Source organism: Homo sapiens, chromosome 10, assembly GCF_000001405.40.
Source record: "Homo sapiens chromosome 10, GRCh38.p14 Primary Assembly".
In the NCBI taxonomy this organism is placed as follows: Eukaryota; Metazoa; Chordata; class Mammalia; order Primates; family Hominidae; genus Homo; species Homo sapiens.
Genome location: NC_000010.11, coordinates 22,708,332 through 22,725,310, shown reverse-complemented (window position 1 = coordinate 22,725,310; position 16,979 = coordinate 22,708,332). Strand labels below are relative to the sequence as shown.

The following is a 16,979-nucleotide window of genomic DNA, read 5'->3' as shown; positions in this document are numbered from 1 at the left end:
AAGTGGGAGGATCCCTTGAGCCTAGGAGTTGGAGACCAGCCTGGGCAACATAGCGAAACGCTGTCTCTATAAAAAATAAAAAATAGCCGGATGTGGTGGTGCGTACCAGCTATTCAGGAGGCTGAGGTGGGAGGATCACAACCCAGGGGAAAAAATAGTAAACAAAAAAAAGTAAGCATATATTAGTCCATGTACATATATGTGTAAATACATAGAAATTAACTGACCCACTCAGATATAAACAGAGGGGAAGGGATTGGAGGGAAAGTGAAAAGATCTAAGAAATGGAAAGCAGGAGTGGAGGAGAGGGAGGAGGGACTTTCCCTTTTTAGTCTATGATGCCATTCTGTGCTGTTTGGGTTTGTTTTTTGTTTTTTTTTTTAGACAGGGTCTTGCTCTGTCATCCAGGCTGGAGTGGTAGTGGCGTGATCATAGCTAACAGCTCACTGCAGCCTCCAACTCCTGGCTCGAGTGATTCTCCCACCTCAGCCTCCTTAGTAGCTGGAACTATAAGTGCACGCCAGCACACCCAGCTAATTTTTAAATTTTTTTGTAGAGACAGGGCCTCATTATGTTGCCCAGGCTGGTCTCCAACTCTTGGCCATAAGTGATCTTCCAACCTCTACCTTTCAAAGTGTTGAGATTACAGATGTGAGCCACCACACCACATGCTAATCGTGTGCTTCTTCCTCCCTCTAAGCATTTACAGCCCTATCTCTATTGTCTTGCTATAGAAGGTACCATATTGCATTGGAAATGGCTGGCTTGCAGCTTTATCCTCCCTACTTAATTATGCACCCCTCAAGGGCAAGGGACGTGTCTTACTCACCTTTATGCTCAGAATCTTCTAGGACCTCAACACATATGTGACGAATGAATGAGCAAAAATGGTAATAAACGTACCTCTGATTTCAAGTTAGTCCCTGAGTTCTAGTTTATCAAGTTTTTAAATACCAGTAATATGACCTACTTAAAATTTGAATTTGAAAACTAAAATGGAAAAAGCCTGAGTTAGTAAAGGAAAAACAGGACTCTTCATTGAAAGTTAGTTGTGACATCAACTCTCTAAGGAGGAGCCATCCCATAGTTAAGGTGAAAGCACAAACCAGGGGCATGAATATTGTGAATAATCAAGACTCCCCATCTTTAAAATTCAGACCTAGAATTTTATGTAACAACGATTTCATCTGTAACTTCCTTTTAGTGCAACACTCAAATGTTAGCTAGTGCTAAAAGTATGGAAGGGTGTTTTTTTGAAAAGCTGTTTTTCAGAGTCTAAAAAACCCTCAAGCCCAGTTCCATCGCTTCTGAGATTTTATGAGACTTTCGAAACTGACTAGGGCCATGTCTGAGGGTGACAAGATGAGCACCAGATTACTAATTGAAAATACCCAGAACTTTCTATCAGGCACTCAAATCCAAAACTAAGAGAACTCAGGAGGCTGAGGCAGGAGAATCGCTTGAACCCAGGAGGCAGAGGGTGCAGTAAGCTGAGATTGCGCCTTTGCACTCCAACCAGGGCGACAGAGCGAGACTCTGTCTCAAAAAAAAAAAAAAGAAAAAGAAAAAAGAAAAAAAAAAGAAAACTCATGGGTTAGAATTTCATGATGTTTGCACACGTGACAGGAGAGGGTTCCGTGGGTTTGCAGACTTCTGTGTAACTGAGGTAAAACTGGATAGGCTCCCCAAGTTTGGGAGCACAGGTATGGGTGACAGATGGATCTAGGAATGCCTTTGCAGTGGGGGCCTCCTGAGTGATTGTTCTGGGGCTGCTTCTGAAGGCTACAACCGCAAATTTCAGGAACTGAGAGTGGTGAGGAGGAAGTGGAAACAGCCTGGGTAGCACCAGGAATCTCTCTGGGACCTCTTGTTCCTCTCACCTACCTCAATTCTTCCTCCTGGGTTAATGAACAGGAACCACACAGGGTTCACCAACTCATACCCTCAGCGCTACCGGGAAAGCAAGGCAGTCCCTGGCTAACTCTCAAAGCTGTTGTTCTGTGTCTTCCATTTGGTTCTCGAGGGCAGTGGAGACCCTGGGAACTGCCCCATCCCTGACCACTGGACACAGCAGCATGAAGAAGACTGTGATCCTTTTCTTACGCTGATCTCAAGTCATATTTTTTTAGATGCTTTTCAAATATGCACATCAATTATTTCTCTAGGTTATCTTCAGTGTAGCATCAGTACAGTGTATACTATATTTTAGAATTTAAAAACTCCATGAAAGCAGACCTTAGGTGAGATTTCCCTCTAGGTACCTTCCCATTAAGAGCAGTAGGCATGTAAATTAAGAGTGCCCCTTGATTGCAGGAATGCGGAAAGCACAAATAAGGCCAGGTACGGTGGCTCACGCCTGGAGCCCCAACGCTTTGGTAGGCTGAAACAAGAGGATTGCTTGAGCCCAAGAGTTCAAGGCTGCAGTGAGCTAAAAAAAAAAAAGGCACAAATGAAGGTGTGGCTGAGATCTTCCACTATGCACTGCTCTAGGCAGGGAAGCTAGTTTGAATTTTCTCCTTGCTTCCTGCTTCTGGACTTTTCCCTTGCCCAGGGCAAAAGGCTCAAGCTAAAATCTTCTGATTCCTTTGCTTCTTGGCCTTTTGGCTAAGATCAAGTGTAAAATCTTCTAATTCCTCTGGTCTTGGCATTCAGTGTTGGCTTCAGGTCTGAAGGTCACACCAATTTGTCTGGACCTTGTTGATCTACAAAGAATAGAATCTTTCCTCCCGGCAGCCATTTAAAAAACTCTCCTAAGGGCTGGGCATCCTTATTTTTGGAGGCTCCAACCCTTCAGCGTATCAAACATATGAAAATGCATTCACAGTCCACATTTAATTCAACGTTTTTGCTGTAAAATAAATTAGAAAAGATTTTTATAATTTTGCTCTAAAAATGTTTAGCTATGCCTTTTTTTTTTTTTTTTTTTTGGAGATTCAGAATCTCAATCCACCCAGACTAGAGTGCCACTGATCACAGTTCACTGCAGCCTCAATCTCCCAGGCTCAAGTGATCTTCCCACCTCAGTCCCTCGAGTAGCTGGGACCACAGGCACACACCACTATGACTGGATAATGTTTTATTTTTTATAGAGGCAGGGTCTCCCTATGTTGCCCAGGCTGGTCTCTAACTCCTAGGCTCAAGCAATCCTACCACCTCAACCTCTTAAAGTGCTGGGATTACAGGCATGAATCACCACGTCCAGCCAAACATTTAATTTTTGATTGACTATTTACTATCTTTTTTATCAATCATTATGCATACTTGTAACATAAGAAAAGCTAACTCACAAATTCTTTATATACGTAATGACTTTTTAAATACTAAATTTAAATTTAATAAATGGCAACATTTAGTCAAATGTTATTATTGATATCACTTTTGCAGTTTTCTTTTGTAATCAAAATTTTTGTTTTCACATCTCAAATTTTTTCTAGGTCCCCGAAAAACGCATAGGCTGTATGCATTGGGAAGATGATGCCCAATGGGTAAACAATTTGTAAACTTGCATAAGGACTCTTTGCGAACACAGGAGGTTCCCTTTTTCCTACATATAGGAAAATGTTCACCACAGGCTTAGTTCGCCATTGCCTAAATCATACAACGACTATTATAAATAGCAAGGAGCAAGTGAAAATGCTGGTCTCTTATTGGAATTGGGTTAGTATGTTAAATGACATTACTGTGTTACTTATTTAACTAGGAAAGATAGTTGCATTAAAAAAATTATAAAAGTAACACGTATGCATCTTATAACATTTGGAAAATGCAGAAATATATTTTAAAAATCATCCATAATCCTAACTGCACCCCTGATATAGCACTGTCAAAAGTATGCTCTGTTTTCTTTCAGTGTTTTACATGCACACACATTTTATAATACACTTTTTACTTTTTAAAAATTTTTAATTTTTATTTTGTAAAGATAGGGCCTTGCTGTGTTGCCCAGGCTGGTCTTGAACTCCTGGCCTCAAGAGAGCCTTCCACCATGGCCCCCTAAAGTGCAGAGATTATAGGTGTTAGTGCTATTTGGAAGCTTTGTGCTTTTTAAAAAAAGCTTTGTGCTATTAAAACCATAGCATATATATGATATGTATCCTATTTTTTCACTTATATTAATATCATGATTATTTTATGTCATTACATTTTCTGTGAAAATATCATGTTTATTGGATGCATTATATCCTGCCATGTGATCTCCCAATGTTGAAATTTCCATTTCTATAATAAAGAAAACTTTCATATATATATAAAGATATATATGATCAAGATATAATGTCCTTCACACAGCTTCCTGTCTTCCAGCGGGGGAGGCTAGCTCAAGTTCTCATGTTGCTGCTTGGGGAGTGGAGAAGGTGGGGTGGTCTGGGGAATGGTTAGTCTGCGCATTACCTGCTTTTTACTCCATCTTCTCCCAGTCCAATCTCCCCAAGTCAGGCTAACCAGACAGGAGTCAACTAACTGGTAGATTCCTGGAATGGCTGCCACTGTCCAGGAAGTCCCAGCCAGCTACAGAAGCCAGAAGAATCACCATCGATATTTAAATTGGAGTGGAAAACCCCAACTGGCTGGCACCAAACCACAGCCAGTCCAGGAAGTTTAGCCAGACCCCTGGAACTCCCAGAAAGCAAGCTGTGCTGCATCATGTCAATAGCTTATCCCCCCAAAAGTAACTCACTTGTCACAGTTGAATTTTTAGAGCCCATTTATTGCATTTGTAGCTTACTTATTGCCTTTTGGCTAGATTTGACAGCTTATGCACTTTAAGAATGGTCTTCCAACATAATAATTTTGCATGGCAAAGCTCAAGGTGACATTGTAGAAGGATGAATGGAATTGTCTCACATCTTGCTCTGATCTTTTCATAAAGCAAGGAAAAGCACAAAGCTTCCAAATAGCACTAAGTCAAAAAAGCTACCACTTCCCTTTTCTCAAGGAAGAATTGGAATTATTCGATTGATAGTATTTTTTTATTAAAAAGGGTAATATAAAAAATCAGAGCATCTACCCTATTCGACCTCTACTTCTGGTCTTGTATACCTTAGGCAACATAATATTTACACCATGTAGTTTTATACTAAATAAAGTTATTTATACTAAATAAAGATACTAAATAAAGTTGATTATAGTAAATGTAAGCAAAAACAAAACCACAACAACAAGAAGCATAAACAAGTCAGTATTGGGGGCTGGGCACAGTGGTTCACGCCTATAATCCCATCACTTCGGGAGGCGAAGGACGGGGATCACTTGAGGCCAAGAGTTCCAGACCAGCCTGGGCAACACAGTGAGACCTTGTCTCTACAAAAAAATACAAAAATTAGCTGGGCATGGTGGTGTGCACCTGTAGTCCCAGCTATTAGGGAGGTGGGAGGCAAGAGGATCACTTGAGCCCAGGAGGTTGAGGTTGCCATGAGCCATGATTATGCCACTGCACTCCAGCCTGGGGCACAGAGTGAGACCCTATCTCAGAAATAAATAAATAAATAAATAAATAAATAAATAAATAAATAAAACCAAGTCAGTATTGGGAACGTTTTAAATCTTCTTGACATGTCCTTCTTTCTTCTTAGTGAACTTGGCTGCTGGAGCCTTTCTTCCATTTGTGATGGCTTTGCCATCTGGATGTGTAACATCCCACCAGGCCAAATGCAAAAGGATGTGGCTGTTGAGGAGGGCATGGCATTCTTCTTGACTGACACAACCACATGCTCTTCTTGAAGTCACACTCCCTTGATCTTCCTCCTAGAGAAGGAAGATCTATGCCTCTCTTCCAGACCTTTGGCGAATGTTGATGGTTTGGCAGCTTGACAAGGTAAGCAGCTTGAACCAGGTGGGCTGAACCAAGAACAAGCAGGACATACACTTTGTCTCATTAGCATGCAAACCCCAAAGGAAAACAGCGATCAAATTGCTAGGTGGCTAAGTCCGCATGTAGTATCTAGCCCTCGAGTTTAAATATTATGTCTAGCCTAATTTCCTAACAAAGTATTTCTGAATGGAACCTTGCACAAAACATTTTCTGGCTACGCAAACTTTACATGTAACTTTGTTATGAGAGATAAAATATTCCTTTTTTCTTTATTCACCAAAATTTCACCACGGGTGCTATGGGAAAGGGAGTATTCAGGGTTCACTGAGACGCCCTAGAAGTGGGTACACCATGGTCCTTGCCTTCAAAGTTTCTTATTGCCCAAGAAATTACTTATTACATTTCTCTAGATATCAATTGTCTATCGAATGCATACAATTTGAGAATTGGATTACACATTTTGAGGTCACTTTGTTCTTCTTTCCTTTTCTTTCTTATTTTTAGAGACGGTCTCACTCTGTTGCCCAGGCTGGAGTGCAGTGGCACAATCAGAGCTCACTGTAACCTCAAACTCCTGGGCTCAAGCGATCCTCCTGCCTTGGCCTGCCAAAGCTCTGGGATGACAGGCGTGAGCTAAGGTCATTTCTGTGACTCTAGAACTCTTGCATCACACATACCCTCCACAGAGCACAAAGCTAATGTGAAAGGTTATTGGCAAAATCATTTAATAAGGCAGGAGATGGCTTGAGGTCAGGAGTTCAAGGCTGCAGTGAGCTGTGTTCTTGCCACTGCACTCCAGCCTGGGTGTCAGAGTGAGACCCTGTCTCAAAAAAAATAAATAATAAAATAAATAAATAAATAATTTAATGATGTATTTGTGAATGGTATTGTGTTAGATGGCTTTCAAAACATGTTAAATCACCAGAAATTCTGTCCTTTGAAACCTGCAAGTCTCCTCATAACTACCTAAAAATACCACACTATGCCCCTATCTGTCCCTCACATGGTGCTATTGGCCTCTGCACCCACCCACAGATTGCTGCTTTCCTAAGGCGGAGCCTCTCCTAACAACAGGTATCCATCCCCTCTTCCTCTAGGGTCATTCAGCACTCTGTCATCACTAAATTCAGTTTTTTGGCAGTTGCAGCAAGCCTATTGTCTTGCATTATTAATATAAAATTAAGTATAATATAGCTATTATGAAACAAATAAATGCTATGGAAGCACTGAGGTGGAAGGATGAATTTGAATTAGGAGGATCAGGAAAGCATCAGGGAAGAGAGGATTTTTGAGTCTAATTGTTTTCAAGGGCAGGATCCAATAAAGGAGTTTAGGTTGGGTGGTGGTGAAAGGCAATAATTGATGATGATGGTAAGCCTTCAAGCCTGGCCAATGAAAATTTGTTAAATAAAAGAACTTCCAGCTGGGGTAACCGAGTGATATGAATGCCATTTCCAATATAATACAAGAAATAAAGTAACTTGTGGATGGGGAAAGATGTCAAACTTGGCTTTAGATATCTTTTTTTTTTTTTTTGAGATAGGGTCTTGCTCTGTTGCCCAGGCTGGAGTGCAGTGGTGCAGTCATAGCTCACTGCAGCCTCAGTGATCCTCCTGCCTCAGCCTCCCAAGTAACTGAGACCACAGGATGCATACCACCATGTGCAGCTAATTTAAATTTTTTTTTTTTTTTTTGGTAGAAATGAGATCTCGCTATTATATCCAGGCTACCCTTGAACTCCTGGGCTCAAGTGATTCTCCCATCTTGGCGTCCCAAAAGTGCTGGGATTACAGGCATCAGCCAGCATGCCCAGATGGTTTTAGACACTTTTAAAAGATGCCTGTGGAAAAATGATGTACAAATGTGCAACCAGGCATTTCTCTGGGGTCGGGGAAGAGTTTATGAGTTACTTGCAAGCACTCTACATTTTCTATTGTGTTGTCTGGTTTACAAAGGGTTTTCATTGCCATTATCTACTATTGATTTTGATTCTAACAAACATCCTATAATGTAGGTAGGGGAGGATTATATTACTAGGTTCAAAATAGTTCCTAAAGTGACATTTGTGTCTGATGATAGTTACTGTTAACATAAAGAACCCGAGGCTGGGAGAGGTTAAGTGATTTGCTCAAGTAAGTGGGAGAGCTACAGCTCAGTCCCCGTGATGTCTCACTAAAAATTTAGGTTTTGGGCTTTTTTAAACCACTAAGAGCAGTGATGGTTGATGCTGGAGAAGCAGATATCATTTTGGATGAAAGCAAGCAGGAAATTACGACGAGGGGACTTAAAAAACAGTCAAAGAAAGAATAGGAGCAAATGAAGGTGACCACATGACCTCCCCTCAACCCCTGAGGAGACTCAAGATCCTAAAGGGATAATGGCCTGTCATCCTTCATCTCCCTGACAGGACCAAGCAGTCTGCCAAGGGCACAGAAGGTATCTACTATATTTGAGTGGAGTAATAATGACAACAGACAACTTACAGCGGGTCCTCAAATACTGTCATTTTGTTCAATGTTGTTTTGTTATAATGTTGATGAGAAAAAAATGGATTTCTAGCCGGGACCACTGTTTGTATTTGCAGGTTCTCCTCGTGCCTGCAAGAGTTTTCTTTGGGTACCTTGGTTTCCTCTCACATCTTAAAGACATGCACGTTCAGTTCATAGGCTTGTCTACATGATACCAGTAGTTTTTCTTTTCTTTTTTTTTTTTTGTTTTAAGAGACGGGGTCTCCATCTATTACCCAAGCTAGAGTGTAGTGGCATTATCACAGCTCACTGCAGCCTCCAACTCCTGGGCTCAAGCAATCCGCCTACTGCAGCCTCCAGAATAGCTGAGACTACAGGTGTGTACCACCATGCCTGGTTAATTTTTGTATTTATGGTAGAGATGGGGTTTCACCATATTGCTCAGGCTGGTCTCCAACTCCTGGGCTCAAGCAGTCCACCTGCCTCATGCCTCCCAAAGTGCTGGGACTACAGGCATGAATCACTGCCCCCTTCCTAAATGGTCCCAGTTTAAGTGAGTGTAGGGGTGTGTGTGTGTGTGTGTGGTGTGTGTGTGTGTGTGTGTGTGTGTGTGTGTGTCTTGCAACAGAATGGCATCCTATCCAGGGATGGTTCCCACCTTTTGCCCAAGCTGAGCAGCTGGGATAAGGCTCCCACTATCTGTGACCTTGAACTGGAATAAATGAGTTGGAAAAATGAATAAATCCGTGAAACAAATGACTGTAAAATAAAAATATGTAAGTGTACATTAATCATAAAAATGCACGACAATAAATGAGATAGGAGTGCACTCAGCTACCATATTTGTGATTGTTTTTGAATTTCATGGTAGCAGCAGGTCCTACAGGCAACTTTTGCTTTGCAAACACTTATTCCTTGACTTAACCCAGCACCACAGCAACCATCGCTCACTTAATCACTAGAAATTTGGCAAACCATTATCTTGTTTTTATCAATCTTTAAAAAATGTAGGTAGGCCAGGTGCAGTGGCTGGTGCCTGTATTCCCAGCACTTTAGGAGGCCAAGGTGGGCAGATTCCTTAAGCCCAGGAGTTCGAGACCAACCTGGGCAGCATGGTGAAACCCCATCTCTACCAAAAATACAAGAAGTTTATCCAGGCTTGGTGGTGCGCGCCTGTAGTCTCAACTACTGGGGAGTCTGAAGTGGGAGAATCACCTGAGTCTGGGGAAGTAGAGCCTGCAGTGAGCTGTGATTGCACCACTGCACCCCCAGCCTGGTTGACACAGCGAGACCCTATCTCAAGGGAAAAAATAAAAATAAAAAAGAGGTATAGCTCACATTTATTTTAATGTTTAATATTAGAAGTGTTTTGAATTTTTACTTTGAAGTTCGGTGATGTTTTTGTAACCGGAAATAATGCTGTAGGAACTTAACTCTTTTTTTATATGTCAGCCTATGGCAAATTTGGTTTTGTTATATGTTGTTTTGCTTAAGGTGACAGTTTCCAAGAACCTACTCCGTGAGGACTGGTGAGCTGGGTCAGAGTAAATAGCACAGGATGACGACTGCAAGGACGATATGGGGGCAGCAGGGTTTTAGACATACTTGGAATGGCAGCTTCCTGAGGTAGGCCAAGTATTCTCAGCATAATAAGGGCTACATTTAGGTGTATCTGGAGGAAGACGGTGAACAGATTTCCACGGACGGTGAGTGCACTGGAAAACAGGCAGGGATGGCAAGTACCATAGTGATGGATTGGAAGAAGGTGCACTTTGGGGCATGATTCTACTGGTTAAGCCAAGGGCTCTCGATGAGGTCCGAGGTTCCTGCCCCGGGCACGGAGTGGGTTGGCAGTGACAGCCCAGCCTATTACGTGGGAGTCTCCCTCTTGAATGGCTCCAGGAGGCCCATATCGAGGGTCTGAAAGGCCAGACGGTTATCCGCACAAAAGTATTAAGTTCATTTCAGGGACTGACCCGGCAATGTGCCCGGGTCCTTCCCCTCGGTGCTGGGAAGCCCTGGTCTCCCTGCAGCATTTCACACCTGGCTGGGTCTCCTGACTCGTGGCGTGGGTGAGTGCATGAGCCTCCCTCCTTCGCCTGATCGACGCCTGGGGGCTCCTCTCCCCAACCTCCTCACTCTGCCCACTCTGTCCTCTCCCTCCTTGGGGAGCGGCAGGGGACGCCTAGCCGGGGTCCCCAGGCTCCCGCTCGCAACCCACGGCCTCCTCCGCGGGCAGGGAGCGAACGCCCGGAGGTCGCCCGCGCACAGGGGGCGGCCCGGCTGCAGCGGAGCCGGGGCGGGAAGGCGCAGCCTAACGGTCCAGCTGCCGCGCCCCGCGCCCCGCACCCAGTGCCCCGCCCGCGGCGCCGCAGCCGCCTCCCGCCTGCCCGCCCGCCCCCTGCGTCATGACGCCGGCGCCCAACGCGGAAGCCGCTCGCCGCGCGCCGGGTCCAGCCGCGGGCTGAGCGCGGATCCGCGGCGGGCGCAGGATACGGGCCGGGGCGCGAGCCGAGCGCAGTCTGCCGGGCCGAGCGGGCGGAGCGAGCCGAGTGGGGCTGAGCGCGCCGGCGGCGGCGGGCGGAGCGGAGCGCGGCGCGCCGGGGCCGCCGCCGGGGGGATGCGGCTGCCTCCCCGGGCCGGGGTGTAGAGAGGGCGGGTCCCCGGCCTCGGGAGCACGGCGGTGGAGGGGACATAGGAGGCGGCCATGGCGACCCCCGGCAACCTAGGGTCCTCTGTCCTGGCGAGCAAGACCAAGACCAAGAAGAAGCACTTCGTAGCGCAGAAAGTGAAGCTGTTTCGGGCCAGCGACCCGCTGCTCAGCGTCCTCATGTGGGGGGTAAACCACTCGGTAAGGGCTCAGCTGCGGCGCGCGGTCCCCTTCCTCCTCCTCCTCTTCCTCCTCGTTCCCCTCCTCCTCCGGCTGCAGCTGCTGCGGGGCGGGGAGCCGGAGTCAGCCCTGGACCTCCGGCTGCTCGCCCGCCTCGAAGCCCCCAGCCCCGCGGCGCGTGCCCCCAGCCCTCTGGGCCGCCCAGGCACCACCACTTGCGTCCCCTTTAGATCTATGGCCCGGTGCGGGTCGGGGGTCCCGTGTGCATGTGAGTCTCACGGTGGGTGCCAGTGCCGCCCCCGGTCCGCCCGCCCGCCCGCAGGTCGGTCCCCGCAGCCTGGGAGGTAGGAAGTTTGTGCGGGGCACGGCGCCTCGGCTGTCAGCCCCGGCGGGAGCTGCTGGGGGCCGGGTCCGGGCGACCGCTACCCGGTGTGGGGGCCGCGCGGCGCCCGCGTCTTCCGCTTGCGGGCAGGTGTACCTGTCCCGGGCTGGGCGCGTGCGAGCCTCCCACTGGGGCACTGGGGCGAGGATACCGGAGCGCGAGCAGATTTGGGGCAGCAGCTTTAGTGCTTAGGTCCTTTCTTTTTCCTTTAAAGGCAATATTACTGGGCACAAGTCGGCTTTTTGGCAAAGCAGCAGCCGATGTAAATATGGCTCTGGCGTCGGGCGGCATCCCTGCGCTTCTCCCGCATCGCCCTGCCGCTGTGCGGGCTGGAGAGCCCTTGGCGGGGAGTCTTCCTCCCTTCGTCGCCTCCCCCCACTTTGGGGAGTCAGGCAGAAGTCACCGACTGCGGAAGGGCGGCCGGGGCGGGGACAGCAGGCGGGGGTCCCGGCGGGCGCGGGCGGAGGGGGTCCCGAGTTGGCCGCACCCGCTGTGGGGGGTGTGGGAAAGGCTGGAGAACGCGTGGAAAGGTTAGCGTCACGCACAGTCGGGGATTGGAGGATGCGCCGCTGCGGGCTATGCGGACTGCGGTTCGAGGGTCTGAAATAGCCTCCTGCTGATCTGACAGCGAGAAACTCCTGCAGTTTTAATCCACTTCGATAGGATCAGGAAACATGATCGGAGCTGTTGGCTCAGCCAGGAAAGTTTAAACGAGCTGTGAATTTTGACCATGACCTTAGCCACTGCAGTCACTTAGCATCTGGGGAAAAGTGTAAGTTCGCTTTCCCTGCTTTTGATTTCGATGGATGTCTGTATGTCCTTTTCAGCGTAATGGAAATGACAGAAAACCATGCTGGTTTTTCGGAAAACACACACACAGACACACACACACACACACACACACACACCCTCAATGTAGTGAAGTTGTTTAAAATGCCTAAAAGCATCGTTTTTGTATTTTTCTTCCCCAAGCTGAGCAGGGGGAAGGGCAAAACAGTATCAGGATCGATCGTGTTTGCATGGAGTGAGTGTTTTTGGAAAAGTTGAGAAATGATTATTTTTATCCAGCTTAATGACTGACTCACTGAAGTTCATTTTAACTTCCTGGCAACTTCTTTAGCTATTTGGGAATGTAAGTTGTTACAAGAGCATGCATTACTGCACCAAAAACTCCTCTCTCAAGTTTTATTACGGAAAATGAAATGCAATTTTTCCTAAGTAATAAGTTTACAATGTAGAGTTATGTATAATTTTGTTAAGCTCTTTTATTATTTATGTTAGTAGTTTTTGGGTCCCTTATTACTAGAATAGAAACTTACAATTTAAAAAAAGGATGAATACTGTAGTGCTTACTCATATTTATGGTGCTTTTATCTCCTTTGGAGTTCTGGTGTTTTGGTCAGGAGAGTGTTTCTGTCTCGGGGTTTAATTTAGTAAGGTAGTGTCAACAATATGCTGCCGAAAAAGAGTGTGCTTTCTGGGAACTCGTCTGAATTCCAGTTTGCCTTAAAAAATCTTGTAATTGTGTATGTTTTACTGTAACCACTTACGTTGCTACCTTATATTTATGAATTGCTACATTTGTTTTAGAGTTTCTTGCTAATTGGAAATATTTTGAAACTACTTAAGTGTTTCATAGTGTATGACTTGTAAATAGTACATTTGGTGTTATTTTCTTTTGCTCTCAAGAGAAGTTGGCAGTTCTAAGTATCCACAACCAGAGGAGTGAAGTTTCCATTTCATATAAATGTAAGCATGTTACTCATTCAACAGATATATATTGGGCACATACAGTGCCAGCTACTGTGGGAAGAATTGCTAAAACACCTCTAATATTTTTATCCAACTGTCTTTATTTTGAGGGCTCTGAGTTGACATAAGAAAGGTCTGTTTCACAGCCTTTTTTTTCAAAATGTCTATTTTCTTTACTATATTATTTTTGAAAAAAGAATGGAGGTGTAATATAAACATGAAATCTAAAACCCTTAGATGCCATGTATTTCTGGTTTGATTTCATTTTAGGTGACAATGTCTGATATTAGATAAATGTTTTATATGACCTTCTGTGCACCAAAGTTTATAGTATAATGTGAGAATAAATATGTCAGCAGTCTTAAGAACAAACAAGCATGGTGTTGTATACGAGCATCTTCCACATACTGTGGTAAAACGCTCATTGAATCTGCGCTTTAAGTTTTTCTTAAATTCTAACTGTTGACCTTGGGCATGTTAAGGTCAGGTTTTGGCATCAGTGTTTGCATCTGTGAACTGAGGTTGTTTGGATGATTTCCAAGTCTAACTCAAGATTCTGTTTTTTCAGTCTACTAGGTGCACAGTGTTATACTAGGATTTGTAGAATACTATATAAAAGTTGTCTTACTATTATAACCTTCCAAATGCAGCAACATTCAGGGAATTTTCAAGACCTTGACTACAGGGGAAGGAAATCTATGGTGATTTTAAGAGACTGTGAACTAAGGGTTTGTTATATTGAATGTAGCTGAACTGCATTGCAGTCTATTAAGCCAAAGTCGATTTGATTGAAACATAACAACTTGCAATTAAGGTGAAAATGTTCAAGTCCATTGAGGTGGTAATGAAAATCTTGATTTGGGCAATGGTCATAGTCGGGAGTAAGCCTGCCATTGTGTGGTTAATTTGATATGTTACTGCTTTGTAACTTAAAATACCCATCAGTGAATGGATCAGTGCCAATTTTTAAGTATTTTAAGCAGAGAATATAACTGAATACATAAAGGAAAAGACTTAAGGCAGTTTTGTCTTGTTACATTTAGAATTAAACTAAAAATGATCAAACAGTAAGCGTCTTAAGATGATATTTTAATAGTGTGGGGAGGATGTTGAATGATATGAGCCAAGACTTGTTTTAAATAGATACTCTAAAAGATTTTTATCCACAGTGAAATGTGAGCCTTTTAGAAATTAGTATTTTAAAACCTATTTAAATATCCAAAGGAAAACATTATCTGTATAGAAAAATCTTAAAGCACATAAAACTTGTTTAAAACATGTAGCATTTAGAAGTAGCTAAGTATTGATGTTAGAGGCTTTTGGTTTAAAGCTGTAGAAGTTGAAATGAGCTTTGGCAAAAATGTCAGGTATTGAGGGGTTTGGGGGGCCTATCACAGTAGAAGGAAAGGCTGGTAATGGAACCATGTGAAGAGCTGGGTGCTTGAGTGTGTGGGTGTGTGAGTGCGTGGGACTTTTCTGTACCCTTTGGCTCAGTTCTCCTTCATAGCTGGCTGGTTCCTCCACAGAGCAGGGAATGAACGGTTCCTGTATTTCACATTTTGTCATTTCTGCTCCCCCAAAAGGGTTTCCTGTCTCTAATTCAGTTATAAAAATACCGTGGAAGGATTCCACTTGGGATTGGTCTGGCCTTGGTCATTTGTGGCCGTCCCTTGGACTAAGCAGTTATAAAAACATGGCAGCGCTTGCCTGTTGGCGTTGGGGAAAGAACAGTCCCCAGAGAGGGGAAAGGGCCTGCCAGGCAGTTTCAGGCAGGTCTCTGTCCGAGTAATAGAGCTGGATGGTTCTGGACATCCGTGGGTCTTTACCGTGGGAATCTGTGAGGGCCAGCCTGATGAGCACCATGTGCTGTGTTGTGTGTGGATTGGAGAATTCATGGTGTCCTTGGTGGAGCGTCAGTAGCTTTGATTATATTCTCCACAAGCTCTGGTTTTTGGAATAGACAAAGACCATATTGGATACATCATAATTTTTTTTTTTTTTTTTTTGGTTCATGGGTTTTTATTTGGGCACTGAAAGAAGATAAGGAAACTAAGTTTTAAAGTGATTTGAGTGACTGTGAAATGACTTTGACTGAATAGGACATAATAAGGCAATTACATTAAAATTAAAATTAGACATTAGATGAAATTATTGAGTGGAACCCAGCTACCATTCATTCAAGAACTAGTCTCCTCAAACTATTTTTTTGTTCTTTTTAATCTTCAGAGGAAAGAAACATACCAAGCAGACATACAGAAAGTTTATTAGGGAAGTCGTTTTATACTCCTTAAAACTTGGGATTATAACCAGAGAACAGAATACATTTTCCTCTCCATTTGTCAGATACTTTAGAGTGAACTCTAAGTATTTATACTTAGTACTTAGTGTTACTTAGTACTTACAGTTACTAAACTTCAGTACTCAGAATGATGCCCCATGTCAGGTCAGTGATTTCTATTTCCAGGGTATCCTGATCTGCTGTGTCTTTAGATAGGTTGCCGGCAAGAATTATAATAAACCACCAAAATCTGCCTTAAGTTGATTAGAAAATACAGGCAACCAGAGTAATTAATTCTGCCAGCATAGCCTTCGAAATACAAATTTTGGAATTGAAGGGAATTGGTGCAATTTGGCAAAAAAGGTTTGTGGTTAGACAGATGAGGTTCAAATGCTAACTTTGGAACTGATGGGCTCTTTGAGCAGGTGATTTAGTCACTTGAGCCTCAATTTTCACATTCTTAAAATGGAGATAATGATATGACTTCACAGGGTTGAGAGTTAAATGAGATACTGTGTTTAAGGCCTAGCACTGTAATTAGCACATCATAAGGATTCAGTAAATGATGCCTAAAAGTAATAAAGTTCAAATGCAGTTTGGATGGTGATATATTAAAAGAACCAGATCCCTGTTTCTCAAAATTTAAGGTGTTTATCAATCGGGGACTTTTAAAAAAAAAAAAAAAGTCTGCTAAATTAGGCTCTGCTGCTGGGTAGGTGGCTCATGCATGTAATCCTAGTCATGCATTGGGAGGCTGAGGCAGGAGGATTGCTTGAGGCCAAGATTTTGAGACCAGCCTGGGCAGCATAGCAAGACCCTGTCTCTACAAAAAATGTAAAAACATAGATGGGTATGGTGGCACACACCTGTAGCCTGAACTACTCAGGAGGCTGAGGTGGGAGGATCATCTGAGTCCAGGAGGTCCAGGCTGCAGGGAGCCATGGTTGTACAGTGTACTGTAGCTTGGGTGACAGATGGAGGCTCCCACTAAATGTGAAACAATAAAAATTAAAATGCAGTGTCTAATTCAGCAGATCTGTTGGGAGTGCTGCCTGAGACTGTGCATTTATCATACTCTCGGGTGGTACTGATGCTGCAGGTCCACAGGCTACATAGCAGTAGAAGGAAGAACTTTACCACTAAGGATTCCTCCCCCAGCCCCAACTGTATGTGATGAGCCCTTAGAAGAATGGTGGCCCCATGATAGATTAGAGAATTTGGGAGAAGAAATTGTAGGTTGGAAAGGGACACAAGCAATTTAGATTTAAGAATGTGGAATTGCAGGTGATGGTGGTGGGTGGATCCTGCAGTTACAGTACCATGTAGGATGCTGGAAAGGTGTGATTGGAGCTCGGGAGCCACTAGGGCTGGGATAGACCATTGAGACCTGCCCGTACAGAATCGGTAAGTCAGATCTCCACCGGAGGAGCAGGGACACTGGGGACACTTGGCTTTGAGGG

The 16,979-nt window shown here is 44.3% G+C and overlaps 1 protein-coding gene across 4 annotated transcripts in view, besides 8 other annotated features; it reads left to right on the top strand.

Moving 5' to 3' along the window:
- Window positions 1,931-2,040: an enhancer, noted in NCBI's record as "active region_3148". NCBI's record gives its function as "activates an Ori minimal core promoter by ATAC-STARR-seq in GM12878 lymphoblastoid cells {active_cell/tissue: GM12878}" and the evidence as "EXISTENCE:reporter gene assay evidence [ECO:0000049][PMID:35858748]".
- Window positions 9,871-10,478: an enhancer, noted in NCBI's record as "H3K4me1 hESC enhancer chr10:23003762-23004369 (GRCh37/hg19 assembly coordinates)". NCBI's record gives its function as "activates a minimal SCP1, AML or CMV promoter by ChIP-STARR-seq in naive and primed H9 embryonic stem cells {active_cell/tissue: H9 hESC(naive and primed)}" and the evidence as "EXISTENCE:reporter gene assay evidence [ECO:0000049][PMID:30033119]".
- Window positions 9,871-11,087: a biological region, named in NCBI's record as "hESC enhancers GRCh37_chr10:23003153-23003761 and GRCh37_chr10:23003762-23004369".
- Window positions 10,248-10,917: a silencer, noted in NCBI's record as "silent region_2215". NCBI's record gives its function as "represses an Ori minimal core promoter by ATAC-STARR-seq in GM12878 lymphoblastoid cells {active_cell/tissue: GM12878}" and the evidence as "EXISTENCE:reporter gene assay evidence [ECO:0000049][PMID:35858748]".
- Window positions 10,479-11,087: an enhancer, noted in NCBI's record as "H3K27ac-H3K4me1 hESC enhancer chr10:23003153-23003761 (GRCh37/hg19 assembly coordinates)". NCBI's record gives its function as "activates a minimal SCP1, AML or CMV promoter by ChIP-STARR-seq in naive H9 embryonic stem cells {active_cell/tissue: H9 hESC(naive)}" and the evidence as "EXISTENCE:reporter gene assay evidence [ECO:0000049][PMID:30033119]".
- Window positions 10,733-16,979, top strand: part of PIP4K2A (phosphatidylinositol-5-phosphate 4-kinase type 2 alpha) — a 179,725-nt gene continuing 173,478 nt past the window's right edge. For 2 of the 4 annotated variants that reach the window (XM_006717450.3, NM_005028.5), the window contains exon 1: window positions 10,733-11,128. In XM_006717450.3, the coding sequence (XP_006717513.1) occupies window positions 10,985-11,128 (144 nt within the window). In that variant the 5' untranslated portion in view covers window positions 10,733-10,984. Of the gene's footprint in view, window positions 11,129-11,202; window positions 11,376-12,118; window positions 12,262-16,979 lie in introns of those variants that run through there. The other 2 variants (NM_001330062.2, XM_017016330.2) reach the window with 2 other exon arrangements.
- Window positions 11,218-11,297: a silencer, noted in NCBI's record as "silent region_2214". NCBI's record gives its function as "represses an Ori minimal core promoter by ATAC-STARR-seq in GM12878 lymphoblastoid cells {active_cell/tissue: GM12878}" and the evidence as "EXISTENCE:reporter gene assay evidence [ECO:0000049][PMID:35858748]".
- Window positions 11,468-11,587: a silencer, noted in NCBI's record as "silent region_2213". NCBI's record gives its function as "represses an Ori minimal core promoter by ATAC-STARR-seq in GM12878 lymphoblastoid cells {active_cell/tissue: GM12878}" and the evidence as "EXISTENCE:reporter gene assay evidence [ECO:0000049][PMID:35858748]".
- Window positions 11,888-11,997: a silencer, noted in NCBI's record as "silent region_2212". NCBI's record gives its function as "represses an Ori minimal core promoter by ATAC-STARR-seq in GM12878 lymphoblastoid cells {active_cell/tissue: GM12878}" and the evidence as "EXISTENCE:reporter gene assay evidence [ECO:0000049][PMID:35858748]".